We start from the raw sequence: 25,518 nt of genomic DNA, 5'->3' as shown, positions 1-25,518 counted from the left end.
GAACCCTGATATTCTAGACTCTTGACAGTCTGCTCCCCATGCATTTGCTGTAACATGGTGTCTTTCTGTCCACATTTCACAGCCTGGGTCTTTTGACAACCTTCACATGAGGAACATCAGCTATTGTCTTGAGATTTAAATTTCACAGGCAGCACCAACAACCTAACTAGAGCATTGCTGATTATAGTACAGAACTCTGCTCTCCATCTCAAAGCTGTGCTTTGGAAGGCTTTTTAATAAAACCATTATAGACACAACACATAAGTGGGATTTCCAATGAAACTCGTTGAAGAAGCCCCTGTACCCCAAGTAAATTTGACAGCCTGGTGGAAAAAGAGAGTGCTAGATCAGTAAAACTAGATTATGGAGAATCTTGAGAACTGGACTAAAGAGTTTATACTTTTAGAAGATAGTGGGGACTCAAGACTATTTCTTGAACAATAGAGTGATATGATGAAGATGGCCTTCAGAGAGAAAGTACTGACTGGTATTTCCTGTGTGTTGACAGGGGGAAGAGATTCTGTTGGCCAACCTTATCGCTGTGACCAGCTGATCAGGTCTAGGAAGACAAGCTATGGGCGGAGAAGCTAAAGAAGAGAGGGACGGGGCACACACAGAAGGGGAGATGAAAAGAAATGGTCTATTTTGTCCCTTTCCAATGTCTGAGCTGGGAGCCTCTTGCTGCCCTTTGTCTACATTGTCTTCACAAAAACGGACTTCCTTTTTCCTGCCGTTGTGGATATGGTATTGGTTGACAAGTCAGGAATTGCCCTCTTTGACCTCTGCTGACATAACAGCTGTGGAGTCACCAGGCTCACCCCTGTGAAAGGCTCTCACCTCACATGGCTTTGGGGCTCAGAGCAAATCCCCAGGTACCACTTCTTCAAACTGCCTCTTTAGCCTGCACTATCCATGCTGGAGCTCTCTGCATCTCCAAATACTTCTCATTATCAAGGAATAAGACGAAAATGTGTGGCAGCATCACCTGTGGGCCCTGGCTGCACAGAGGGGCCCTACTGCACTTGAAGTCTTCCTGCAGAGCTCGGCAGGGGCCAGCCTTGGGTGTTTCTCAAGTAAAGAGCTGAGAGGCAGAAGATATCCTGGACCTCCACCTTTGCAGAAGAACCGAGTGTCAGAAACCGGAGAAACAGAAAAGTGAACTTTTGACTCATGGAATCACTAAGCTGATGCCCTTCAACGTGGAACTAAATTTTATACCAAATATTGTCTATTATGTTTATATATGCAGACTACCATGTTTATATATGTAGACTGTGTGATATACTGAATATCAAATTCTTCATCAATCTTTAGAAACAAAACAGTAGCAATATTTGTCTTAATCATTTAAAATGTTGGAATATAATCATTACTAAATCATATCCCTAAATGCGTAAAGAAAAATGACACCATAAGCCCTGGTTGCAAAGGTGGCTCCCAAAGGGTAAATATCAATCATTGTGGGCTGAATGCAGAAAGAACAAATCCATTTAAGTCTTCAGTTGCTACTTGGTATTAAGTGAAAAGGACCTTAAGGTTTTTATTTTAAATGTACTGATAGCTTACTGGAAAACAGGCACATTAGTAAGTATTACTGCGCTTGTTGGATAGAAAGAAATGCATGTGCTTTCACAGTGCAAAGGCCAATAGTGAAGCAAAATCACAGAGCAAAGCAGGCTTAAAGATTTCAAAATGAATTCAGAGGACCCAAATGACTGGTTTATTTACATACACTTCCCATGTAAACACAAGAATGAAAACTCATTTGATCATCAAACAACTAGCCCATGAGAGGTATCTCAATGTGATCTGATGGAAAGAAGATGGACTTCCAAGCCCAAGAAACAGCCCTTTGTTTTAGTCCAACTCTATCATTTTCTAGCTGTTTGGCTTCTGGAGCCTCAGTTTCCTCGTTTGAGACACAGTGGTGCAGGGTTAAATCGGAGAAGTAAAAAAAAAAATCTGGAGTACACGGAGTCAATGTAAATTCTCTCCCACTCCCCTTTCAAAAATATAGCTAGATTTCAAGAAACAGTCATAAAAATAGCCGGAAAGAAACCCCAAATCCTTTAGTCCTCTTTACTTTTCTTTTTTCTTATTTCGCTTCCCATTGTTTGTGATTATTTGTTCAATTTCTGGCTGTCTTTATGTGTTTACATTGCTTATCGTTCATTTACTTCTGCGTTGGTGGAAAGTTGATTATTCAAAGCATCTCTGATGGCTACTGCTTGAATGTCCTTACTGCAGGGGCTCCAGTCTTTTGGGGGCTGCATCTGCACTGCAGAGGGCTGGCTCGGACATCTGTGGATTTCAGTCAACAGAGGAGAGATTGGAAGGAGCATGTTTCTTTCAGAGTAGATAGTGGATTCACTGAATCCCCCCGCCACTAGTAAATCTCTTCTAGTAAGCCATTTGCATCCTTTTTTGTTGGTTTTTAATCCTTGCGGAGTTCTCAGCGATGCTACGAGCAATGTGCTTGCACTTAAGGTGATGGACTGTAAATGCCTGAAAAAGGAAGAAGCAGTTGTCAAAGCAAATTAATTATTAATGTTTATAGTTTTCCTGTCTTAAGGGTTTTCAGAATCTCAGTTGTTCAGTGTTTGAAGCTGTAATGTCTCCAACTGTAATTACTCAGTGAATGGGAGGCAGTGTGATTGTCACCCACAAGCATCCCCACCAGGAATGGATGAGTCGTGACCCTTTGGAGAGGCAAGTGGAGCTTTTACCTTGAGAGCCATTCGTCCTGCCAGGGTCAGGCAGTGGGAGGAGGCAGGAAAAGGGCTTGTTGCTCTGAAAATAAGACCATCTCCCAAACCACCCTACACCCTACTTCTTCCAGGTGGGAAAGACCCACAGGGTTTCAGGAGAGTCCACTGGGAATGACTTCCTTGAAATGGAGGTTCAGTCCTTTCAAGTTCTGAGCTGTGAGTGGGGGTGGCTATGGGAGGAAATCACTTTGCACAGGGTTTGATGCGACACTTCTGGGAAGCTTATGAATTCCGTAGGAGTGGGCATGAAGTTGTAAGCACGAAGGACCTGTAATACTTCAGAGGAGATGAAGGAAGGAGTCTGGCCATGTTGGAGCCATAGAGGGAATCTGGGGTTTATATAATGAATATTTCTGGGTTTTTGTTTTTATCTGCTTTTGTTTGATTTTGCTTTTACTTTGGGAGCTAAGTATTTTTTTTATCTTGACAGATATGTTTTTTCCCCCTTAGAGTAATATATATTCATGGATTAAAACTAAAGACAAAAAAAATCTCTGCAGATAAACAGAAATGCCCACCATGGCTTTGACCCCAGTACCTGGAGATAAACATGGCTGCCCCATTTCCTCTCTCTATTCATATAGCTGAAGATATTAACATACATTGCAATCAACATTACTGTTTGCTTTTTGCGTTGAACAATATAAACTCAGAATTCGTTCAGAGACTTCATGTGCTCCAGCATGTAATTTTCAGGGGCTCTAGAGTAGTCTACAGTGCAAATATCAATAATGTGCTTAATTAGGCCACCACTGCTGGACTTTCAGGCTTACTCCAACTTTTCTCTATTATAAACAGCATGTAAATGGACATATTTAAAGCCTTGTGAACATTAATCTCCATTCACATCTTTCAGTAAAATTCTGTGATAAAGAAGAACTACTGAGTTTTTAATATGGCTACTTTTATTGTTTTCCTGTGTGTTGCCAAATCACTCTCCTGAATGTTAGAAAATCAGGTTTCATTCCTTGTTTACATAACGTGTTCTTTCTAAATAAACATTTGCAGTTGATTTTCAGTCAACAAATTGCTTTTATTACTTTAATGTCTATGAAATAAGACCATTCCAGTATCCTTACCTTACAGAAATGACAGCAACAACAGCAAATATGAGTAAAGAAAAAAAATTTTTTAAAAGATGAAAAGACCACACCCTGGGCTATATAATATGAAGGGAAGTCGTGCAGACCCAGGGATCTAATCACCACTATGATAGCCAAGACTCACACTTACCTAAAAAAAGTCTTTTTCTCGTCTTGAAATCTTACCACTCTTTTACTTTTCTGTTGCCCTTCATTATATTCTGGGGGTACAGGTTTAAGTTAGTTGTATACTCTGGTAACTAGATCTCAAGTTCCTGAGTGACATGCCACTGATGTTTTCACCTCTATTTTGTCTAAATACGTAGCAGAATGCTTGTACATTGAAGGTGCTAAAATATCTGTTGAATGGAAAAATGCTTTATTGTTTTGATTCAGACTATTCCTCAAAATGTTAATATCAGCATTGGCTGAAGACGTGTGCACAGAGGTTAATATCTTTGATTATTCCTGGAGTGGATGTAAACACTTGGTGAGCAGGCGATGCAAACCATTTGCACAAAACCATTTCTGGCCAAAGTTTCATGTATATTAGCCCATCAAAGAAAACACCAGGCCTTTTTATACAGAGGCACAATTAGTCTCAACTCAGGTTAGGTGTTGAGGAAGTAGGAGCAAGTTATTCTTTACTCGGCTGAGTTTTAGGTTAATTTGCCATTTGACTATATTTAGAGAAGTTCCTTCAGTGCCTTCCTCTTTGGAGTCTATTTAGGATATGTGGAGAATTGTGACAAATATTTCTTATTTGTCCTGTTTGGTTGTCAACATGCAAATGCAAAGTTTGTTTCTTTTCTAATGGTTATAAATACTTGAGAAGAAATACGTGAAAAGAATAAATAAAGTGCAGTCTCCTGCTTGCTTCCTCAAATTAGAATGTTTGCCTCTATGAACTGAGTGACATTAATGAGAAAACCCTGGGAAAATATCAATATTTCTTAATTAACATCTTCTGGGTGGGCTTTCTTAAGAATGCTATCTCTGATCATTTGTTATGAAAAAATATGGCAATCTGTGCAGAATGGAGTTGATTTTCGACAATTGAATGCATAAAATATACTTTAAATCAGATCTGTTGTAGATACAGCCCTTATTTAAGGAAATTGTCAGAATGTACTTTAAAACTTGTGTGGTTAAGTGATTTTTGTGATTTTTTTTTTTAACCACGTTGAAATTTTGACAAGCTTTTGGCCTATTCCCACGACTCCCCATCTGGGTCCTCAAAATGATTCCTTACTTCCTCGAACATTGGCTCTCAAACACCATTCCCTTACACACAGAGCCGTGGGCTGAGAGAGAGAAAAAAGCACACTTTGTTTTCTGCTGTCAAAAGCACTGCGAAAGCAGGCTTTCAATCTCCCTGCGAGTGTAATTAAAGACTCCGATAACCTGAAAATACATTTGCCCACATTCTTTGCATATGTTTCTTTGAGCTCTTTTTATGTGGCCTGTTCAGGATCATGGTGTATTCTAGTTAATAAAGCGTTCTGGTTTACTGCAGCTTTTATTAAATGCTTAGTGTGTGTCAGTTACTGTGCAGAGGGCTGCCATACACAATTTTATTTGATCTCCATCACAACCCTCTGAGATAGTGTTGTGAGAATTCTTATCAGAAGGGGAAACTGAGGCTCAGAAAAATTAAGTGGATAGCTGTGATTTTGCATAACTTCCACACATTTTCCAAGTCTTAGTTTTTTTATGTATTACATAAGACTGGGGAAATGGTTGTCCTGAGAGAGCTGGCGTGATGTTTAGGTAAAATAATGGATGAGACGCATACAACACAATGGCTGGGAGGTGTTAAGTGCTGAGTCAAGTTTTAGAGAGTACTTGTAATATAGTAATTCCTATTTTTTTTTCAAGGAATAACAATCTGTAGACCCCTCAGATTCTGCTAGACGTATTTAACCTGCTGGGGAATAGTTGAGAGGGAGGTGTTAGCATGTCACCAGCCCACAGTCAGCTCGAGAGGCTCATACAGTTTACATGCTTGAGCCATGTCAGTTTTACATCTTGTTTTAGAGAGCTTTACACTCCCAGCAAAAAAAAAAAAAAAAAAAAAAAAAAAAAAAGTGGTGATACTGGAAATATTGTAAAGTTTAATTACATCTCATCCAATAAAAATGATTTAGGGATAATTTTACTGCAAGTAAATAGAATCAAATGGATTTTTTTTGAAGGTAGGGTCTTGCCGTGTTGCCCAAGCTGGAGTGCAGCGGTGCAATCATGGCTCAGTACAACCTCGGCCACCTGGGTTCAAGCAATCTTCCCGTCTCAGCCTCCTGAGTAGCTGGGACTGCAGGTGTGCGCCACTGCACCTGGCTAGTTTTTTATTTTTTGTAGAAATGGAGCTGCTCAGGCTGGCCTCGAACTCCTGACCTCAATTAATCCTCCCACCTGTCCTCCCAAAGTGCTGGAATTGCAGGCGTGAGTCACTGTGCCAGCCAGAATCCAATGACTTAAAACATAAACTTGATGTCTGACTTAGGTCCCACATGGTCGTCCTTTGATTAAGGATGATTTGCAGTATGAATAGTCACGATTTCACAGTGAGCCTCCTGTGATCTCACAGGAGCGTTGTGGGTGAAGCATAGGCTCTTTCTTCTCTCCTGTGGGTTGTCCTACCTTTCAGTTACACTGTCAAAAATTAGTGACTTGCCAAGCACTTCCCATTCACACCAGTGCATAAGTGCTAAGTGTGGGTTTAGATTCTATGAGATTTTCACTACTTTTTAACAAGGCATGAAGTGCTTTCACAGCGTTCATGTTTAAACTCCACAATTTTGTAGACTGCGCTACAGTAGAAAAATAGCAACATGCCTGAGCATCCTGCCAGAGCTCAGCACGGTCTTCACCTTCTATGCACTCCAAGACCTGTGAGTCAGGAAAGCATCTAGGTGGGCCAAACAATGTAAATCCATGAATACTGAATATAAAAACAGCATCTATTAGGACATCTGAAGTGGTAACTTGCTCTACAGTGTTTCTAATTTGTAGGAAAATTGCTGGAGAAAAATTTAATCTTGAACATTCTATGAGTTGGGGAACTCAGCACAAATCAAGGAAAGCTCCTTGATGATTTCGAGTTCTTTATGGGTGGGCACCACAAGGGGCTTCACCATTGTCTCTGACATTTGAGAACCCATCATGCTGTCTCAGGCTGTAAGACAAGCTTTGGATTGACAGAGCCAGGACATCAGTTGTATCGTAGCATCTGCAAGATGGATAGGCAGGTGCAGGCAGCCTTAGAAATCTGCCTCTGGCTGGGTGTGGTGGCTCATGCCTGTGATCCCAGCACTTTGGGAGGACGAGGCGGCTGGATCACGAGATCAAGAGATCAAGACCAGCCTGGCCAACATGGTGAAACCCCATCTCTACTAAAAATATAAAAATTATCTGGGTGTGGTGGTGCATGCCTGTAATCCCAGCTACTTGGGAGGCTGAAGTAGGTTGCAGGCAGTTGGAGGTTGCAGTGAGCTGAGATCGCGCACTGCACTCCAGCCTGGCGACAGAGCAAGGCTCTGTCTCAAATAAATAAATAAATAAAAAAGAAAGAAAGAAATCTGCCTCCACCACTGTTGCACAGAACTATGAATGAGCTCTGGGGTACACTTGGTTAACTTCCCTCAACTACCTTAGAAAACGAGGTCCTGCCATAGGAGCAGCTCATTCATGAAAACGTCCAGTCAGCACTCTCATTTGGCTAGAATGCCCCCACAATCTTTCATGTTAACCTTCATCTGTGATAGACTTTACTTTTTTCCTGCTGAAAACCAAAATCAAGACACAACACAACAACAACGTGCATGCTTTCAGTAACTCTTAGTTCTTCTGTCACTGCCCTAAAATATTTAGTTTTAAAATTACATATCTTTCCAGCTTCTATTTTTTGAATTATGCTTAGAAACTTGGGTTGCATTCTTCCCATTACCATTTACAGGTTTTTAAGTATTTTAAAAATCATGTAACTGTTACACTAAAATTAGGCCAAACGCATTTTAAATTTTTTTCATATAATCACCTTATTTTCTCTTGTATTTAGAATTCTTAGCATTGAAGCCCAAGGTCTGATTATCAAAAGAAATTTTGATGTGCTTCCTTAGTTCTTATTTCAGAGCATTTTCAGAAATTTTCGCAGTAGAATCCTTTTTTTTTTCTTCAAGTGATTCATTATAACTCCAGCCTATGAGAAGCAATTTAAGTGGTTCTGCTAAGGTGAATGAGCCTTGGGGTGCCAACGTCTGGGTGGCTCCTGGCTTAGCTTTCAGAACTTTCCCTGAAACACCTGCAGGTCACCTTGGGCCTCCAAGGAACATAGTTTTGCAACAGTATTCTATTTGTGAGGCATGGGCCTATGCATGCGTCCCTCTCAGGCCCCTGAGTGCCAAGACAAGTGTGTCTGGATTTCATTTGAATAAAGGTGGACACCAGCCTCCAGGGCTGCATTCTGACTTCTGTCAGGTTAAAAACTACAACAGAAGATTAAAAATCATATTTTACGACTGCATAGTTATTAATATCAATATATTGATATTATACATAGAAATATTTTCTTCAGTCTTAAAGTTCATTTATTTATTGTGATTTTAAAATAAATGTAAACATCAATTTCTAAAAGTATTGTGGACCTGCCATGCTCCCGTGCCTAACGGGTATGCCAAAGCCAGCCAACATCATCATCTCAGGGGGTGTCCCTCCGTGAGCCACGTTCCTGGGAGTAATGATAAACAGGCAAACTTTGCCTTGCAACATGAGATGGCATTTACGGTTAAAATAAGAGAGTGTCACATACAGGCACATACAGGAGGCACTGGAAGGTCTTTCACTCATTCTGCTAATAATAAAATGAAAGGACTAAAGAGAGAGAGATTTTAAAGTGGAGTGAAGTTCAAGAATGAGTGGATAATTTGCATGCAACATTTAATTGACTTACTTTAACAAAAGCTTTTTTTTTTTTTTTTCTTTTTTGAGACAGAGTTTCGCTCTTGTTGCCCAGGCAATGGGGCAATCTCGGCTCACTGCAATCTCCGCCTCTTGGGTTCAAGTGATTCTCCTGCCTCTGCCTCCTGAGTAGAACAAAAGCATATTTTTAAAAACACTTTTTATCTTAAAATAATTTTAGATTTACACAAAAGAATTGCAAAAATAATAGAGATTGTCCATAAACTCTTCATGTGAGCTCCCCTAATGTTATTATCTCACATCCCCAAAGAACAATATCAAAACCGAGAAATTAACGTGAGTACAATACTGTCCCTAAACAACAGACTTCCTTCAGATTTCACCATTATCCATGAATGTCCATGCTCCCCCAGGACCCACAGTGCATCCTGCTCTTATGCCTCTGAAGTCTTCCCCAGCCTGTGGGTTTCCTGGTCTTTCCCTGTCATTCGTGACTGTGACACTTTTGAGGCAGGTGTTTTGTAGACGCTCCCTCACTCTGGGTTTGCCTGTTGCTTCTACCAGCCCAAGGCTATGCAGTTTGGAGAGTAATGCAGGAAGGGGATGTGTGTGTGTGAGGCACGTGGTATCAGCTGACTCATCACCAGGTTAACCTGCTCACCTGGCAATTGCGTGGGCTTCTTCATAATTCATACATCATTTTTCCTGTTTCATACTCAAAATGCTGAAGCAGGAGGGTCGCTCGAGCCCAGGAGTTCAAGATCAGCCTGAGCAACATGGTGAGACTGCATCTCTACAAAAACTTTAAGAATTATCTGGGCAGGGCTGGACACGGTGGCTCACCCCTATAATCCCAGCACTCTGGGAGGGAGAGGCAGGCGGATCACAAGGTCAGGAGTTTGAGACCAGACTGGCAAATAAGGTGAAACCCTGTTTCTATTAAAAATACAAAAATTAACCAGGCTTGGTGGTGTGCACCTGTATCCCCAGCTACTTGGGGGGCTGAGGTAGAAGAATCGCTTGAATCCAGGAGGCAGAGGTTGCAGTGAGCTGTGTTGGTGCCACTGAACCCCAGCCTGGGAGACACAGCAAGAACCTGTCTTAAAAAATAAAAATTAAAAAAAGAGAAATGAGCCACTAAGTTCATTGTAGGGGAGGAGAATTAAGATCCTGGAGGGAGGACTATCGAAGAATTAGTGAACATATAGACCGTCATCATCATCAGTACATATGTTGGGAGGGATACATTGAAGCCCTACAAAATATACCTTTTTCCTTAAAGTCTTATCCACTAACTTCAGAATTCACCAAATTGTTCCAATGGTGACTTTCTATGCCTGTGTTCCTTCTGCACTTATTAGTGGAAATTGCTTCATAAGGAAGAGGGCCCCTTTCCTCCCACTTGTTTATATTAATGTTTTGAATCTTTTAATTCTCTCGCTATGGACTCACAGATACTTATTTCGTTCTCATTATTTGCCCCAGGTTTCCAACTTCAGCCGTTGGTTCCTCAGCCTTCTACGCCTTCCACTGGAACCCAAGGCTCTTTGGTCAATGGGCAGCCCGAGTGTTTGGGCTGCTTAGCTTTCAGAGGGATGTGCTGCTGATGTCTGTCCTTTTTAAAGAGGTATTTTATGCTCACAACACTTCACACATCGTTCCCAGAAGATGCATCTCCAACATCTCCCAGAATTTGTTACATGCTCAAAGGAAATGAGATCCCACTTTCTGTTTTGATGACAGTGGGACTGGAAAAGACAGATTCTAGGTTGTCAACAGTCACTGTCTTACAGCAAAGCAGTTTATACCAGGTAAAGAAAAAATAAATCTAACTGATTTTATGGGATTACTTGCTATTATGGCTTGAATTGTTTCCCACCGCCACCCCCCAAAAAAAATTTATATGTTGAAGTCCTAATCTCCAGGAGCTCAGAATGGGACCTTATTTGGACATAAAATTTTTACACATAATCAAGTTAAAATGAGGTCATTAGGGTGGGCCCCAATGCGATGTAACTGGTGTCCTTATAAAAAGGGGAGATTTGGACACAGTCCCTCGCAGGGAGCATGCCGTGTGGAGATGGTGGCAGAGATGGTTGGGGGTTGCATCCAGAAACCAAGGAACTCCAAAGCTTGCAGCAAACCACAGATACTGGAGAGAGGCATTGGGCAGAACCTTCTTACAGCCTCGGTGGGAGCCAGCCCTGCCCACACCTCCAACAAGGCCGTCCAACCTCCAGGACTGGGAGGCAGTAAATGGCTGTTGGTTAAGCTGCCCCACTTGCGGTGTTTGTTACAACAGCCCCAGCTAACTCACATGCTCACATGCCTTCTTGGGGTTGAATGCATCATATGTATAATTCATAACTTGAAAGGCCTAAAGGAGTCAAATGTCTTCTTGATTCAGAAATGTTGAAGACACTGTATCATCAGTCCTGCTGAAGGCTACACTTAACTCTATGCTGCCTTTTACAGTTTTGGCCTAATTTCTGCTCTGCACAGAGCTGATAGACACATGCTCATTTACAGGGCTGAAGTAAGTTTAGATGGGACTGCCCCCTGAATATCCCCGGCCCAGAGGTAGACACAAAGCAGCGAAGACACATTGACAAACACGCAGGTGCACAAAAGCTCCGGCTGTGGAGTAGTAAAAATCTCAAGTACTCGGAGCTGCACAGCTGCCTTTTGTTACAATGTACAGGAAGTCTTGGTTTCTATACTAAAATCATCGTCTTACTTAATTTCCCATTTTTTATAACTTTAGACTATCTGACTGCACTTAACTTGTTCTGCCCCCTTTGTACCCTGCAAGTTGCTGGAGGTGGGGACACTTTAGTCACAATCCTCAAATTATCACTTTAATTCACTTCCCAATAATTATATCTTTAGAATGTTTAACGGGATTAAACTCAGAATTCATCCCCTTCCTCCAACTCTACTCAACCCCAGAGAAAGAAAAACAAGTACACTTCACTTTTACTAAGATTATTATCCAGAAGGAGATACTGTGAAAACTTTGCAAATCAAGGGAGAACTTCCCTGGTGTCTGTATTTACTGCCTACCACTCCTCACCGCCCAACCCTGACATCAGTGAAGGGGTTTGGTTTGTTTCTTTGCCTGCTTGTTGTTATCACCTCAGTGCTTCGGGGATAGCCAAGAGTCAAGCCCCTTGCATGGTTTATGCCTCTCACCTGCTTGGACGTCATTACATTGCCCTGAGACAGGCCTTATCTTCAGCCCATGGTTAGAAGGCTGATCTGATGACAGCAGATTGTCCTGCTGTGACTTAAGAGAGGCCGCCTGTTGAAAAATCTGAGTGTGGTCCCTTCTGTGTTTGTGTCCTTGCAAATGTCTGAGCTGTCTATCACTCCAGCTGAAATTAGGTACCGGAAGGTCTTTCACTCATTCTGCTAATAATAAAATGAAAGGACTAAAGAGAGAGAGATTTTAAAGTGGAGTAAAGTTCAAGAGGGAGGTGATCAGAGACAGGGTCCTTGCCAGAGAGACCAGAGACTTGGGTGGGGCACCAGGGTGGGGACTCCAGGCCCTGGGGAGAAAACACGGGTCCTGGGAGGTTGGGAGGAGAGCCAGCAGCTGGAAGGGGCCCAGAGAAAATTGAACAGAGGGAGCCCAGGGACACGCATTTATGACACTATCGGCCCAGCCTGTGTCTCAAAAACCTCTGTGTGTTTTTGCTCTTGCTGCCTGTGCCTCCTTCTGCATATAGAGCTAGAGCTGAAACCTTACTGGGAACTGGAAGATGGAAACACAGCGGTGAGCCTGGAGCAGGGCGACGCCAGCCTGGAGGCCCTCTCTTCCTGCCCACAACCTCACCTCCTCACATCTACACTGCACACTTGCACCGGCCTTCTTTCTGCTTCTTGGGACCACAGACTGAGAAGGGACCCCCAGTCCTGCTAGCTCCTTGCTTGGTCTCAGGGTGAAGACGAGTCCCGAGTTTGAGTCCAGCCTCAAATCTGCTGACCTTGGATAAGTCACTTCTCACCGCTTGGGGCTTTGGTTTCCTGAATAGATTGAGTTAAAATCTTTGTGGGTTTTTAACATTAAAAAAAAAAGTGGAACTTGTTTTTCAAATAAAATGTTACACGAAAACTTAATACTAAAAGCAGAATAAGCTGGATTTGCTCCCGTATTCTGGGTGCCTCCAAGTATCCCCTCCCCCTCTTATCCATCCTTGTGTACCCCCTGCCACCTAGCAGCCCCCTTCCCAGTTCATCAGGGGCCATTGGAGGGAAAGGCTTGGGAAGTACAACTCTACAGAGTTCACGCTAAGGAAGAACCTTGCAGGAAATGCTTTTAAACGTAAACCAGCAACATCTAGCTTCTCCTGTGTAGAGAGCTGCCCAGACCCCACCACCAACTGCTAATTCTGATTTTTCTCCGCTGGACATTGGCTTTCTTAATAAATGTTTGGATTTTTAAAATCTACCATTTTTGAAAAAAATAAGCATTTCCGCATAGAAATCAGACCTTGTCTGCGAGCCGGAGATGTCCTCCGCGTATTCCCGGTGACAACGATGTGGCCTGTGAGCCTGCATGGGGCTGAATGGTTCTGTGATTTCCTAGCACGGAACAGAACTAGTGAATGCCGCTGTGTTTGGGGCTAGGATGCTCAGAGGCCATCCCCTCTCCTCCACAGAGGCTCGACTACTCGAAATGCATTGCTTCTGAGCCTAATATGTGTCACAATTTCACCTTCAAAGGCCAAGCATCCAGAAGCAGGAGAATAAAGATGTTTAGTAAGTGCAGCACATCGATTCCTCTTCATCTGGAGCTGCTTAGGAGCCACCAAGATTGTTACTCCTGCTCTCATTATGAATGCATTAGCATTGAACTTAATAGGAGGGTCCCCCAGAGAAAGTTAAGAAGCCTGCCTCAGAGGCCACTGCAGGGAGACGTGTGGGGCCCATGCTCTGGGCATCGCTGCATAAAGGAGACTGCACCTGCTCTGACCCCTTCCCCAAGACGTTCAGTTGCTCAGTCAGAAAGTCAAGGATGAAAAGTGTGTGTCTCTGGCTGGGTGTGGTGGCTCACACCTGTAATCCCAGCACTTTGGGAGGCCAAAGAGGGTGGATCACTTGAGGTCAGGAGTTCAAGACCAGCCTGTCCAACATGGCAAAACCCCATCTTTACTAAAAATATGAAAATTAGCCAGGTGGTGTGGTGGACTCCTGTAATCCCAGCTACTCGGGAGGCTGAGGCAGGAAAATGGCTTGAACCCAGGAGGCGGAGGTTGCAGCGAGCCAAGATTGTGCCACTGCACTCCAGCCTCGGCGACAGAGCAAGACACTCTCCCCTCTGCCCCCCACCAAAAAAAAGTATGTGTCTCCCTCTCCTATTGCAACATGAGCCTGGGGAGCATTACAGTGTAAAACTCGGCATAGAAGTATTTAAATCATTTAATGACATCAACCAGATAAAGATGTGATCACATGTCATCAATATGTGTGTATGTTTGGGCTACCATAACAAAGCACCACAGACTGGGCTGCTTACACAACAGACATTTATTTCCTCCCGGTTCTGGAGGCTGGAAGCCTGGTCTCCAGGTCTCTGCAGAGTTCATTCTTCTGAAGGCCACAAGGAGAAGGCCCCGCTCCCTGGCTTGTGGATTTGGCTTGTAGATGCCATCTTCTCCCTGTGTGATTTGATTCGTCTTTTCACTGTCCATGTCTCTGTGTCCAACTTTCCTCTTATTATTACAAGGATACCTGTCATATTTGATTAGGGCTAAACCTAATGACCTCATTTTAATCCATCATCTCTGTAACGGGCCTATCTGCAAATAAGATCACATTCTGGGGTCCTGGGGTTTAGGACTTCAGCACGTGATTTTAGGGGGAATTCAGCCTCTCATAGTCCACAAACATAAAAGGCTAGTGACCAAAACAGACAGTGGAAACACAGGGAAAAACCCAGGCTGTCCCAGGCTCCGGACGCCCCTCCAAAGGCATGCAGAGGCCGCCTCTGAAGTCAAGTGCCTCCACCAGGAGGGGTGTGTGTGAACAGTCACCTTTAAGTTTCTCAAAAGTAAACACATCCCCAGTCTGTCAGAATTCACAGGCATGACATGTGCATCTGTGCCTAAAGACCAACTTGGAGTCCACATGAAATGCAGGTGATGGGCATTTGCCCTGGTGCAGTGGGGACATTCCTGCACAGGAATGTGGCCTTGGGTGGACGCTGCCAGGTTGGCCTATGCTTGGTGGATGAGAGTTCTGTCTTTTTGGGGCTGTGATGGAGACTGGCTCATCATACAAAAGTGGGCTCAAGGCATTAAGAGAAAGGAAAGGAAGAGTTGCATGGAAGTGAAACTATCTTCTAATGGCAGAAGAGAGATCTGCTGGGAAAACCATGGAAACAGCCCCTGCGGATCTGCTGAAATCCCATGCAAGGGCTTTCTGTGGGCTGCTGAAGCCGAAATCATGGACTTGGGACTCAGGGGTAACAGTATTTGCTCGCAGACTTGGAGCTCAGCACAGAGGGTCAGTGACCCGGGGCGGGGGGCGCTGCAGCTGGAGGACCCTGTAGCCTGGATGTGGGCTTTACGCAGTGCCGACCACATGTGAGGCGGCTGCCTGTCACCTACCCTCTCTGGGTTTGCACTCTTAACACGGCTGCTCTCATATTTCCTATTGAGGCAGGCATATTCTGAGAGGGTTCCAGAAGGAGAAGAGGGGGAAAATGTAGCAGCAAACAATACTCCACTTTCCCACAGGGTGTCCAGGCACAGAATTGTCCCCTGTCCCTCTGCTTGAAGGTGGGGTGTGATCCTGCACGTCCCAGAAGGAAGTGGCTAGCAGGCGAATATCTCTCAGAGGATGCACGGGCTGGAAGCAATGTCCCAGGACAGGGAGGGGGAGCAGAGGGCATTCAGTCTGGACACGCACACACTTGGAGAGACTTTTCTGACTCCAGGCCCTGGACGGCAGCTCACTGCGAATGGGGAATAGGGATATAGTGGAGGGCAGGGGAGGACTCCCCATTTAAGCTGAAGCACTGATGTCTTGGGGAGGGGGGTAGTTAGGTGCACAGTATTTATATTTGGAAACCAAAACATGTCCATACTTTATCATAACACAAAAATAGAAAGCAAAGTGCAATACATGCTTTGTTTTATGTAGCATGCATTGTGCAAGTGTGGTGCAACTTACCATATATCATATACACAGCAAGAGTTTTCTCTTTTAAAGAAAAACATACTTTTATTCAAAAATAAAGCTTGGTTTTCTTTTTCTTTAATGAAGCAGCAATGTGGAGCTTTGTGCAGGAGGGCCATGCTGGTAGACAGCTAAGCACAGTTTTGGCAGACCAGAAATTCCCAGGTCATTTTTCCCTAGCTGGGAACACCCCTTCCATCGAGTTCCTAAGGAGCCTTTGGGGACATCACAGAAGCAGCAGAAACTGCTGCTGTGGAGAGGTGTGCCCCACACAGCTCCTTACATATCATCAAGAGCAGTTGCCATGGTGCCTCATCTTCAGAGCATCCTTGCCTTTAAGGTTGGAATATCTTGGATCAATAGTCTCCCTTCTGCACTGTCCAATAGAGCATCCACCAGCCACATGTAGCTATTTAAATTACATGTAATTTCTCAGCTGTACTAGCACCTGTGGCTGCGGCAGGTGGATCTATTGGGCAATGCTGCCTCGTATGGACCCAAGAGCAGGTGGTGGAAGGTTGAAGCAGCAGGACTTGGTTGGCAAATGAAGGCAGCCTTGAGACCTGGCTTACACTGCCAGGTAGACTAAACTTCAAGCTCCTTGAGGACAGGGGCTCTGCCCATTTCATTCTTAGCTAACCCTAGAACTCAACACATAGTACACACTGTGTTAAGATTTGTTTATAAATGAATGAAAATGTATGTAAGGAACTGGCACATAGTAGGCTCTCAATTAATGTGGCCACTATCTGGTGGGTGTATTTAAGGAGAAGGGAGCCCCTAACATCTTCCCTTTCTCAGTGAAGATCAGGTAATGAGTTATGAAACTGTCTCTAGCCTGCCTAATAAATAGCTCCAGGGTAAGGTTACTCGCTAGACCCAGACAGTCATGATATTGCTAAATGCTTGTTGCCATAAGCAATTTGTCAAGAATCCATCTATCACAAAGGATGAGAAGTATTCTAATAGGGCAGGTCAAATTGTCTAATCCCTTTTCTGTGTTATTTGAACCAGCAGCTCTGTCTGCTCAGTAAGGCTAGGTGGGGAGGGGTGTCTATGGGAAGAATAATCATCGTCAGTGGCTTGTCACGTCTTCAGAATCCTGACTTTGTAGCAGACATGCAAGGCTGCAGAAAAGTGTAACACATGCTTAGCTAAAACAAGATGCCTGGATCTCCCAGGATCTGCCTGGGAGGCTTGTGGGTTTCCTGCCATCACTGCACAGACAGGCTCCGCCACGCGTCTCTCGCGGCCTCTCTTCCCATTTGGCGGGCCTCTTGTTTAAGTTTCACACCCTCATTTGAATTCTACTGGGGCTGCTTGCCCTGCGCAGCTACCTCCCTGTTTCATCGTGAGGCTCTGTCACCCTCCCCACATCCATTTTAATTGTCCCATTTCTGCCACGTTTCTTTGGCACCAGGGGTCTTCATAACAGGGCCCAGAGAATATTTTATTTCTCCTGATTAAATCTGTTAGATTTTTTCCCCTGGGGCTTAGTGAGTTCTTTTAATTTCCTCCTGTTTATTACTTTTCTTGTCAGTGACATTCCTAATCCTTGAGTTGATATCGTGTGTGTATTTAATTACTTGCAAATGAACACGCACGAGGATAAAGGAGCTCATTTTAAAAAGCAATGCCAACTTTCCAGAGACGTTGTGTCAGTCTCAGGCTTTGGTTCCTGCAACGCTGAGCCACAGTAGGAAGATTTCCAGTCCAGTTGCATTTTTAAAGTGGCTGTAAACAATGGCGCTTTGGCTGGGAGGTAGAGAAATAAAAAATCACAGGTTGAACAAGTTGGTTTAAACTGTCCTTTCTTCCCTGCTCTCTTGCTACCCACATCCTTTTCAGTGCTGTGCCACCAGGGCGTCCAAAGACCAACTCTCTTGGCCTCCTCTCCCCAAACAAGTGGAACTGAATCCCTGAAATCTCTGCCCTCATGCCCTCCTTTTATTCCCACCACATACCACATTTTATGCGTCCTCATATGTATTTTCTCCAGGAGACAGGTACCTTATCTCAGTTAAATGTTTCATTTTGTTTAGATGATACACAACACATCCCTTTTCCCAGGTAATTTAGATAGCGTGCAGGTTTACAGTTCACTTTGGGGCTGTTGTCTCCCGCTGTACATAATGGAAGCCATCCACCCAGCCAAGGAGTCAAAGATAGGGTGAATCCAAGATGGCCAAAGATGAGAGGGGCATCCAACCAAAACAAATCAGCAAGGACATCTGAGACCATCACTGCTTGGGGACCCTAAGGCCACAGGGAATCCATGATTCAGGTATCGTGTGATCTGGAAGCCACAGGCTACAGCTGTCTGCTCAGCTGTTGTAGAGACAGGAAGACCTTTGCTTTAGACTCTGAAAAAGAATTTATCCTTCCTTCACTTTCCTTCCAGGGTCTACTTTTATGACAAACACATGTTGTTGAGCCCCTTGACTTTTCTGTCTCTCTTCCTCAGTCTGACTTACCTGTAAACTTCAACCTTGAACAGGTTATTTCACTGTTGACGTATGCTCAAGGGGTCAACATGGTTGGAGAAAATGGCACAACGAGGCCACCTGGTTGGACTCTAAATTCACAATCACAAACCTTCAAGCAGGCAGACAGTACTGACCTGCTGCTATATCTCTTTAATTTTTTTCCACTTTTCCTGATGCCCATTTGATGTCTTCTTCTCTTTGTGGAACCTCTCACACCCTCTTTTCTGTCTCCTTCTCTGGCTGGTGACCTGGTCTCATACTTCACCAAAAAATTACAAGCCATCAGGTGAGAACACACACATGTTACCAGCTGCACGTTTCTAAAACTCCCTGCGTTGAGCTCATTGTCCCTTTTTTTTCTGATTCTCTCTCTATCAGAACTCTGTCTCTTTATGTATGCTCTGTTTTCAACACACTCCTCCCTTCCCAAAAACTGTTGTGTCGATTTGCTCCAATCTGCCTTGCATTAATTTCTCCTTCCCATGTGATCATTTCCATCAGTGCTTAACATGCTCTGGGTCTTCTGTCTTTACATGAAGACATATGGGGCCAGGCACGGTAGCTCACACCTATAATTCCAGTACTTTGGAAGGCTGAGGCGGATGGATCACTTGAGGGCAGGAGTTCGAGACCAGCCTGGCCAACATGACAAAACCCCATCTCTACTAAAATACAAAAATTACTTGGACGTGGTGGTGGGCACCTATAATCCCAGCTACTGGGGAGGCTGAGGCATGAGAATCGTTTGAGCCTGGGAGGTGGAGGTTGCAGTGAGCTGAGATCATGCCATCACTGCACTCCAGCCTGAGTGACAGAGAGAGACTGTCTCAACCCAAAACTTTGTCCGCATGTGCTGCCTGCATGGCCTCCCCACTGGGACTATGCGGACACAAACCAAGCTACTCAAACCTGGCTTCCATCAGACCACACCCCCGGGACTGCTCTTGTCAACACCACCGAGAACCTCCGCATTGCCAAATCGCAATAACACATGTGTCCTTGTTTCCTCCCCTCTCAGAATTGCTCAACACAATTAGCTAATCACATGTTTCTGAAACATACGCTGTCTCTAAAATGTAAGCTCCAAGATGCGAGGACCTTGTCTGTCTTGTTGACCTTTTAATCACTGTCAATCAAAAAACTGCCCAACACAGCAGGTGCGCAAAAAAAATGCCTGTTGAATGCATAAGGGGCACTCTTTGCAGGGCTTGGCTCCTGTGAGACTGCACCCTTGGGGTTCCCTTCCTGATTCCTGCCCCCACTCTTTTCCAGCCCCTCTCCTCTGAGCGATTTCTCTGTGTTAGAGCTCTGCAGGGTTCTGCCTGGACCATCCACAGGGGAGACTGTCATTCTCATGGTTTCAATCCCTACACTCCGCAGTTTATATGTTCAGCTCTTGTGTCTCTCCTGAGATCCAGCCCTGTATGCCTAACTTCCTAGTAAGCTTCTCTAATTCAAAGTCTCATGCACAACTCATGTTTATTCAAAACAGAACTCTAAACTCTCCATCTGTCCCTCAGTGCCCCCATTTCTACCCAGACATCTCCAACCACGTGGCTGTTCAGGAAAGAATCCCGTAGCTTCTCTGTCTCCCCTGTTTGCGTTTCCTCCTCTCTGTGATCCCTCCCATCAGCACACCCCACTAAGTCTCCAAGTGACCTGTCATCTCCAGCCACGTCTCCCTTCTCCACCGCCTTCACCCCAGCACACTCCTGTCTCATCTTCACCACCCCATGGGCTTCCTGCCATCCCCCACCAACCACTCCCCTGACTTCCCACCCTTGTGGCCCCAAGGCCACCACTGAGATCTTTTTCAGAGCTCACTGGGCCCTCTTACTCGCCTACTTTTGACTCTTCAGTGACTTCCCATGACCAGTAGAAGAAAACCCACACTCCTGCCTGTGGCCTGCAAAGCCCTGCGCCTCCCGGCTTCTTCTCCCTTTTCCACAGGAACCGTGCCCCTTACACATGGTGTTCAAGATGCCTGCCTACCTTCAACTCCTCCAAACTCTCCTCTGCTTCTGAATCCTCTGTGCAACATTCCTTCCTCACAGATGCTTCCACTTCCGTCCTCTCATGCTGGGTCTTACGCCTCCAGTTCTCAGCTTAGCTCTTTGCCCCACCAAAGCCTGCTCCTGGCTGTATTCTAAAGGCTGCCCTGCCTAGCGTACTTTCTCATGCCTGCGCTTTGTTTACTTCATAGCGCTCAGCATAATTCCGTTTTTAAAAAAACTTACCAACTTACCTCTTTACTGCCTTTCTCAAAAAACTGTAAGTTTCATGATAACAGAGACCATATTTACTTGTTCACTTCCATATTCTCAATGTCAGGCCCTGTGTCTCCCCCAGATGTATCCAACAAGTATTTATTAAATAACGAGCAATGTTAGGATTTAGTATTTGTGAGCTTTACATCACATTCATCCACTAATTTCTGTTATGGGGTCAAAAATATTTCTGATTTCGCCATCTCCACCCCTCCACAATTTCTAGAGTATTAATGGACATGATAGGAGACAAAGATTCCATGTAAATGTTGGTCATACAGTTTCTAATAGGCAAAGCATATTTTATTTTATTTTATTTTTATTATTATTATTTTTGAGACGAAGTCTCGCTCTGTTGCCAGGCTGGAGTGCAGTGGCATGATCTCAGCTCACTGCAACCTCTGCCTCCTGGGTTCAAGCAATTCTCCTGCCTCAGCTTCCCTAGTAGCTGGAACTACAGGTGCATGCCACCATATCCAGCTAATTTTTGTATTTTCAGTAGAGATGGGGTTTCACCATGTTGGCCAGGATGTTCTCGATCTCTTGACCTTGTGATCCGCTGACCTCGGCCTCCCACAGTGCTGGGATTACAGGCGTGAGCCACTGCGCCTGGCCCCTAGGCAAAGCATATTTTATTATTTTCAACTTCAAACTTGTGTCTGATTGTCTGATCCAGAAATGTGACCCTGCAATTATTTTTGTTGCCGTGTGATAAATCACCCATTCATAATATTTCTCGATATCCATCTGTAATGTTAATGCTCATTCATCAGCCACAAGGCCCCTCTAAACAGTGTTATGGAGCTGAGCTGCCAGATGCTCTAATTTCTTCATGGCCACGAGACTGTCTGGAGCTGGACACTGCCTGTTTGGAGGGATATTATTTAACCAGTATGCTGTATGAATGCCTTGGTAGTTCAAGGATCAAAGTTGAACTTTATCAGCATTAGATTTCTCTTTCATCCTGAATAAAAATTTCTTTTTTTTTGGTAGATATATTTATAAAAGAAAGCTCCATTTGAAAAAAGTTGACAATAGATGGTTAAAGAGGACACATAAATTGATCTTTCTAGAAAGATATATTCATTTATACACAGAAGGTAACCAACAATGGAATGTTTCTTATGAAAACCGCATTTTCAAAATATGTAGAATTTTAAAATATACTATATAAAAATGGCTTCGTCAACTGTGAATGCAGTTCAGTGTTCATGGCTCGTGTTGGTGATCAAGTTTGGAGGCATCCTGAATAAAAATTTCTAACTGGACTTTTGCTGTAACCATTTAACGGTCTATAGCAGTTCTCAGGGGCTGAAGCATTCGGGATGCATGGTTTGTGAGGCACTCCGGGGATGTCGTTTGAAGCCTGTGAACACGGAGCAGTTCTCCTGGTCAACTCAAAGACAATTCCACAAGGTTTTTCTCCATGTCACCGCTGCTTAAACAGCTAGACTTCCTATAATCAGTGTGAGCAGTAAAATAAAAAGATATACTAGATCGTCACTGCTGGTCAAAAAACCCAAAATGAATAAAACCATTCAGAGCTCTTGACTCAATGATACACCTGACGGAAGTGACTGCCCATAAATTGGAATGGCTCCCAACAAGACTCAGGAATAGTGATGGGCTGGTTAAGGAGAGAGAAAGCACGAAAAGGTTTGCTGCACTTGGGTTTGGGTTTTACACCCCACACCCTACTTCCTAGCTCTCTGAGAAGTGCCTTCTTTATGACTGCCTTTCCCCGTTGGAAAAGTGAGGAAAAAAATGTGACCCTCCTTAAAGAGCCATTGGTAGGTTAAACTCTTTGGTACCATGTTTGATACCTTGCTATCATTAGTGTAAATTTTCTCTCAGACTGAGTCACTGCAGCACCACCCTCTGAGAGGCTGATCATGCTTACGATTTCACACTCCGCATCCTAGGCTGCAACTGGATGGCTATGATTAAGGCTGTTTACTTAAGAATTGCCCTCTGATTCTGGCTTTAAAATGCACCCATTTCTAGATATCCCTTTCTGCAGTGCAGTGGTGCTCATCTGGGGGATTTCGTTCCCCGGGACATGTGGTGGTAATGCCTGGAGACATTTTTGGTTGTCACACCTCAGGGTGGGGAGGGGGTGCTGCGGGCATCCCGGGATGCTGTGAGACATCCTACAGTGCCAGGGACGGCGCCACCCCAAAGAGCTTCCTGCCGACTCAGAATGTCCGCGGGTCCCAGGCTGGAAAACACGCTGCAGGCATTTCGTGTCCAGGGGTTCTTTTCCTTTTGTTCTTTCCCTTGACATGACTAAAAGAAATAAATGAGTTATCTTCTACATTTATCAGTGTATAAGCTGAAAAAAAATAGGGTTACATTTTGAGATTGCAAATCCCGCAAACAGATCTGGGCCTCCAAACTACTTATTTTTGGAGTTTAAAAACATATTTTATTTATTTATTTTTGAGACAAGGTCTCGCTCTGTCACTCCAGGCTGGAGTGCAGTGGCACAATCTCAACTCACTGTGACCTCCACCTCCCAGGCTCAAGTGATGCTCCCACCCCAGCTTCCTAAGTAGCTGGGACTACAGTTGTGTGCCACCACACCTGGATGATTTTTGTTTTTGTTTTTTTGTTTGTTTTTTGGCAGAAATGGGGTTTCTCCATTTTTCCCAGGCTGGTCTCGAACTCCTGGGCTCAAGTGATCTGCGCACCTCAGCTTCCCAGAGTGCTAGGATTACAGGCGTGAGCCATCGTGCCTGGCCAAACATACTAATTTTAAAACTATGCAGTAGGGAAACCCATTCCCTTTAATTACTTAGTTGAGAAACACAAATAAGAACTTTAGGCTCAGAACACTGTGTAGATTAACAGTGTAGAAATAAGTTTACAGTTATTTCAGATACTAATCTTATGACTATTCAAAATAGTTACCCATCCAAAGGTTTCATAAAGGGAACCTCGCACGAAAGGAAAAAAAAAAAAACTCTAAGGGAAAGCACATGCTTTAGAGAAAGTCAAATACACTGGGCAATTTACAAAAGAAAGAGGTTTAACTGGACTTACAGTTCCACGTGGCTGAGAAGGCCTCACAGTCATGGCAGAAGGCAAGAAGGAGCAAGTCACATCTTACGTGGGTGGTGGCAGGCAATGAGAGGAGCTTGGGCAGGGAAACTCCCCCTTATAATACCATCAGATCTCATGAGACTTACTCGCTATCATGAAAACAGCACAGGAAAGACCTGTCCCCATGATTCAATTACCTCCCCCCAGGTCCCTCCCACAACACGTGGGAATTCAAGATGAGATTTGGGTGGGGACACAGCCAAGCCATATCACTGTCACTTTTCTGAGTTTTTCCCAGGCATGTATTTAAAGCATCTATAGACTGTTTTCTTCACTTTTTGGGTCCCAGACACCCACTGTGTAAATAAGGGACTTGACCCAGCTGACCCCCACGGCCCTTTCACACTGAGATCCTGAGATCACATATTTCAGTTTTCTAAAAATACCTCTGCGGACTTGTATAGGCATTGCCAGATTCACTGTATTCTTGATTTTCCCCCCTAAAACAAAATGTTTTCTTCCTCTTGACTGATTCTGTCTTTCCCCCTTGATCTCTGCTAGACTCTGGTGTCTTTAATGTGTCCCAGGAAACAGATGTTTTAATGCTCTTTCGTTTCAAAACTGGATGCTTTCATCTCTGATCAAATAAAAAATGACATGTATGAGAAAGCACATTTCCTGACTGGTTGACACCGTTGCAGAATGACTTTTAGAATTTTTATAGTTCTGTGATTTGAAATGTCAGATGTGTCAGCAGGGCCGGTGTAAAGCCCTTGGAGTTATGTTTTGATGGTTACTCAAATATTCCAGTAAGCTGGATTAAACGACTTTCAGGAAGCCCAGCCTGAGATTCTTGCTCAGAAGGAGATGTGTGGACGTCTTGTCGGGCTGTGCACCAGCTCTTGCATAGATAATATCTAAGAGGAGCTTGAGTGCATCTTCGAATGCACCCTCACGTCTGAGATTCTTGTTCTCGAGCAGCATCGTGGTCCTCAAGCCTCCACGTGGGTGTGTGCTCTGCTCCTTCCTGGGCGGCTAGAGCCTGGACTCTCAATGCAGCAGTAAACGGAGCAGCGTTAGGAGTGCAGGGACATGGCTTGACTGACGAGTGTGATGTGTTTTGTGCTTAAATGTGCAATGCAGCAAACTTCAGCTGTATTTCATTCGTATTTTCAGAATAATTAATTGGCATTTTTAGCATGCCATTGTTTTATTTTAAAATGGTGTCATGGGTTTTTGGGGGTTTTTTTTGCCCTCTCATTTAAAAAATTACAAAATACTAATACTTCCTAATTCACATTCACCTCTGCTCAGTTCCGTTTTCTCACTATAGTTCTTTGTAAAGGAGGCTTAGGGTGTGTACCCACAAGGGGAAGGGGCCAGGTGGCCATCGCCGGGCTCAGAGTCTGTCCTAAGCCCTACCCCGCCTTGCGGCAGCCTGGCATGAACTCCACTTCCCATCTCTCCGTCCACACCTCCCAACTTGTATGTGTATTTCTTCTCCCCAGGGGTCAGTCCCTCCTAAGATTCATGATATCATAAGAAGTGAGAACAATTTCTGCATATGGCAGGAGTCTCTGTCCCCTCCGCCTGCTTCCCAATGTGACAGACCCCAAGCTTCATCATGTGAACCAGGAATAGCCACGTTCATGCAGTGTAGACGAATGAACATATCAGATCAACTGAATCTGTCTGATGAGCTACTCCATGTGATGACCTGGCCTCAGCTTCTTTCTGATTGAAGAGGCTAGAGAACCATATTATAAAACTGATT

General features: G+C 44.1%; 1 long non-coding RNA gene across 1 annotated transcript in view; it reads left to right on the top strand.

The window, feature by feature from the left end:
• LINC03082 (long intergenic non-protein coding RNA 3082) overlaps positions 1 to 5,377 on the top strand; it is a 145,761-nt gene extending 140,384 nt beyond the window's left edge. The window contains exon 5 of the long non-coding RNA NR_187459.1: positions 509 to 5,377. This is a non-coding gene — a long non-coding RNA (long intergenic non-protein coding RNA 3082). The remainder of the gene's footprint in view (positions 1 to 508) is intronic.
• The last annotated feature ends 20,141 nt before the right edge of the window (positions 5,378 to 25,518 follow it).

This window comes from Homo sapiens, chromosome 13, assembly GCF_000001405.40.
Source record: "Homo sapiens chromosome 13, GRCh38.p14 Primary Assembly".
In the NCBI taxonomy this organism is placed as follows: Eukaryota; Metazoa; Chordata; class Mammalia; order Primates; family Hominidae; genus Homo; species Homo sapiens.
The sequence above is the reverse complement of the archived record's forward strand: the minus strand, read 5'-3'. Positions and strand labels throughout refer to the sequence as shown.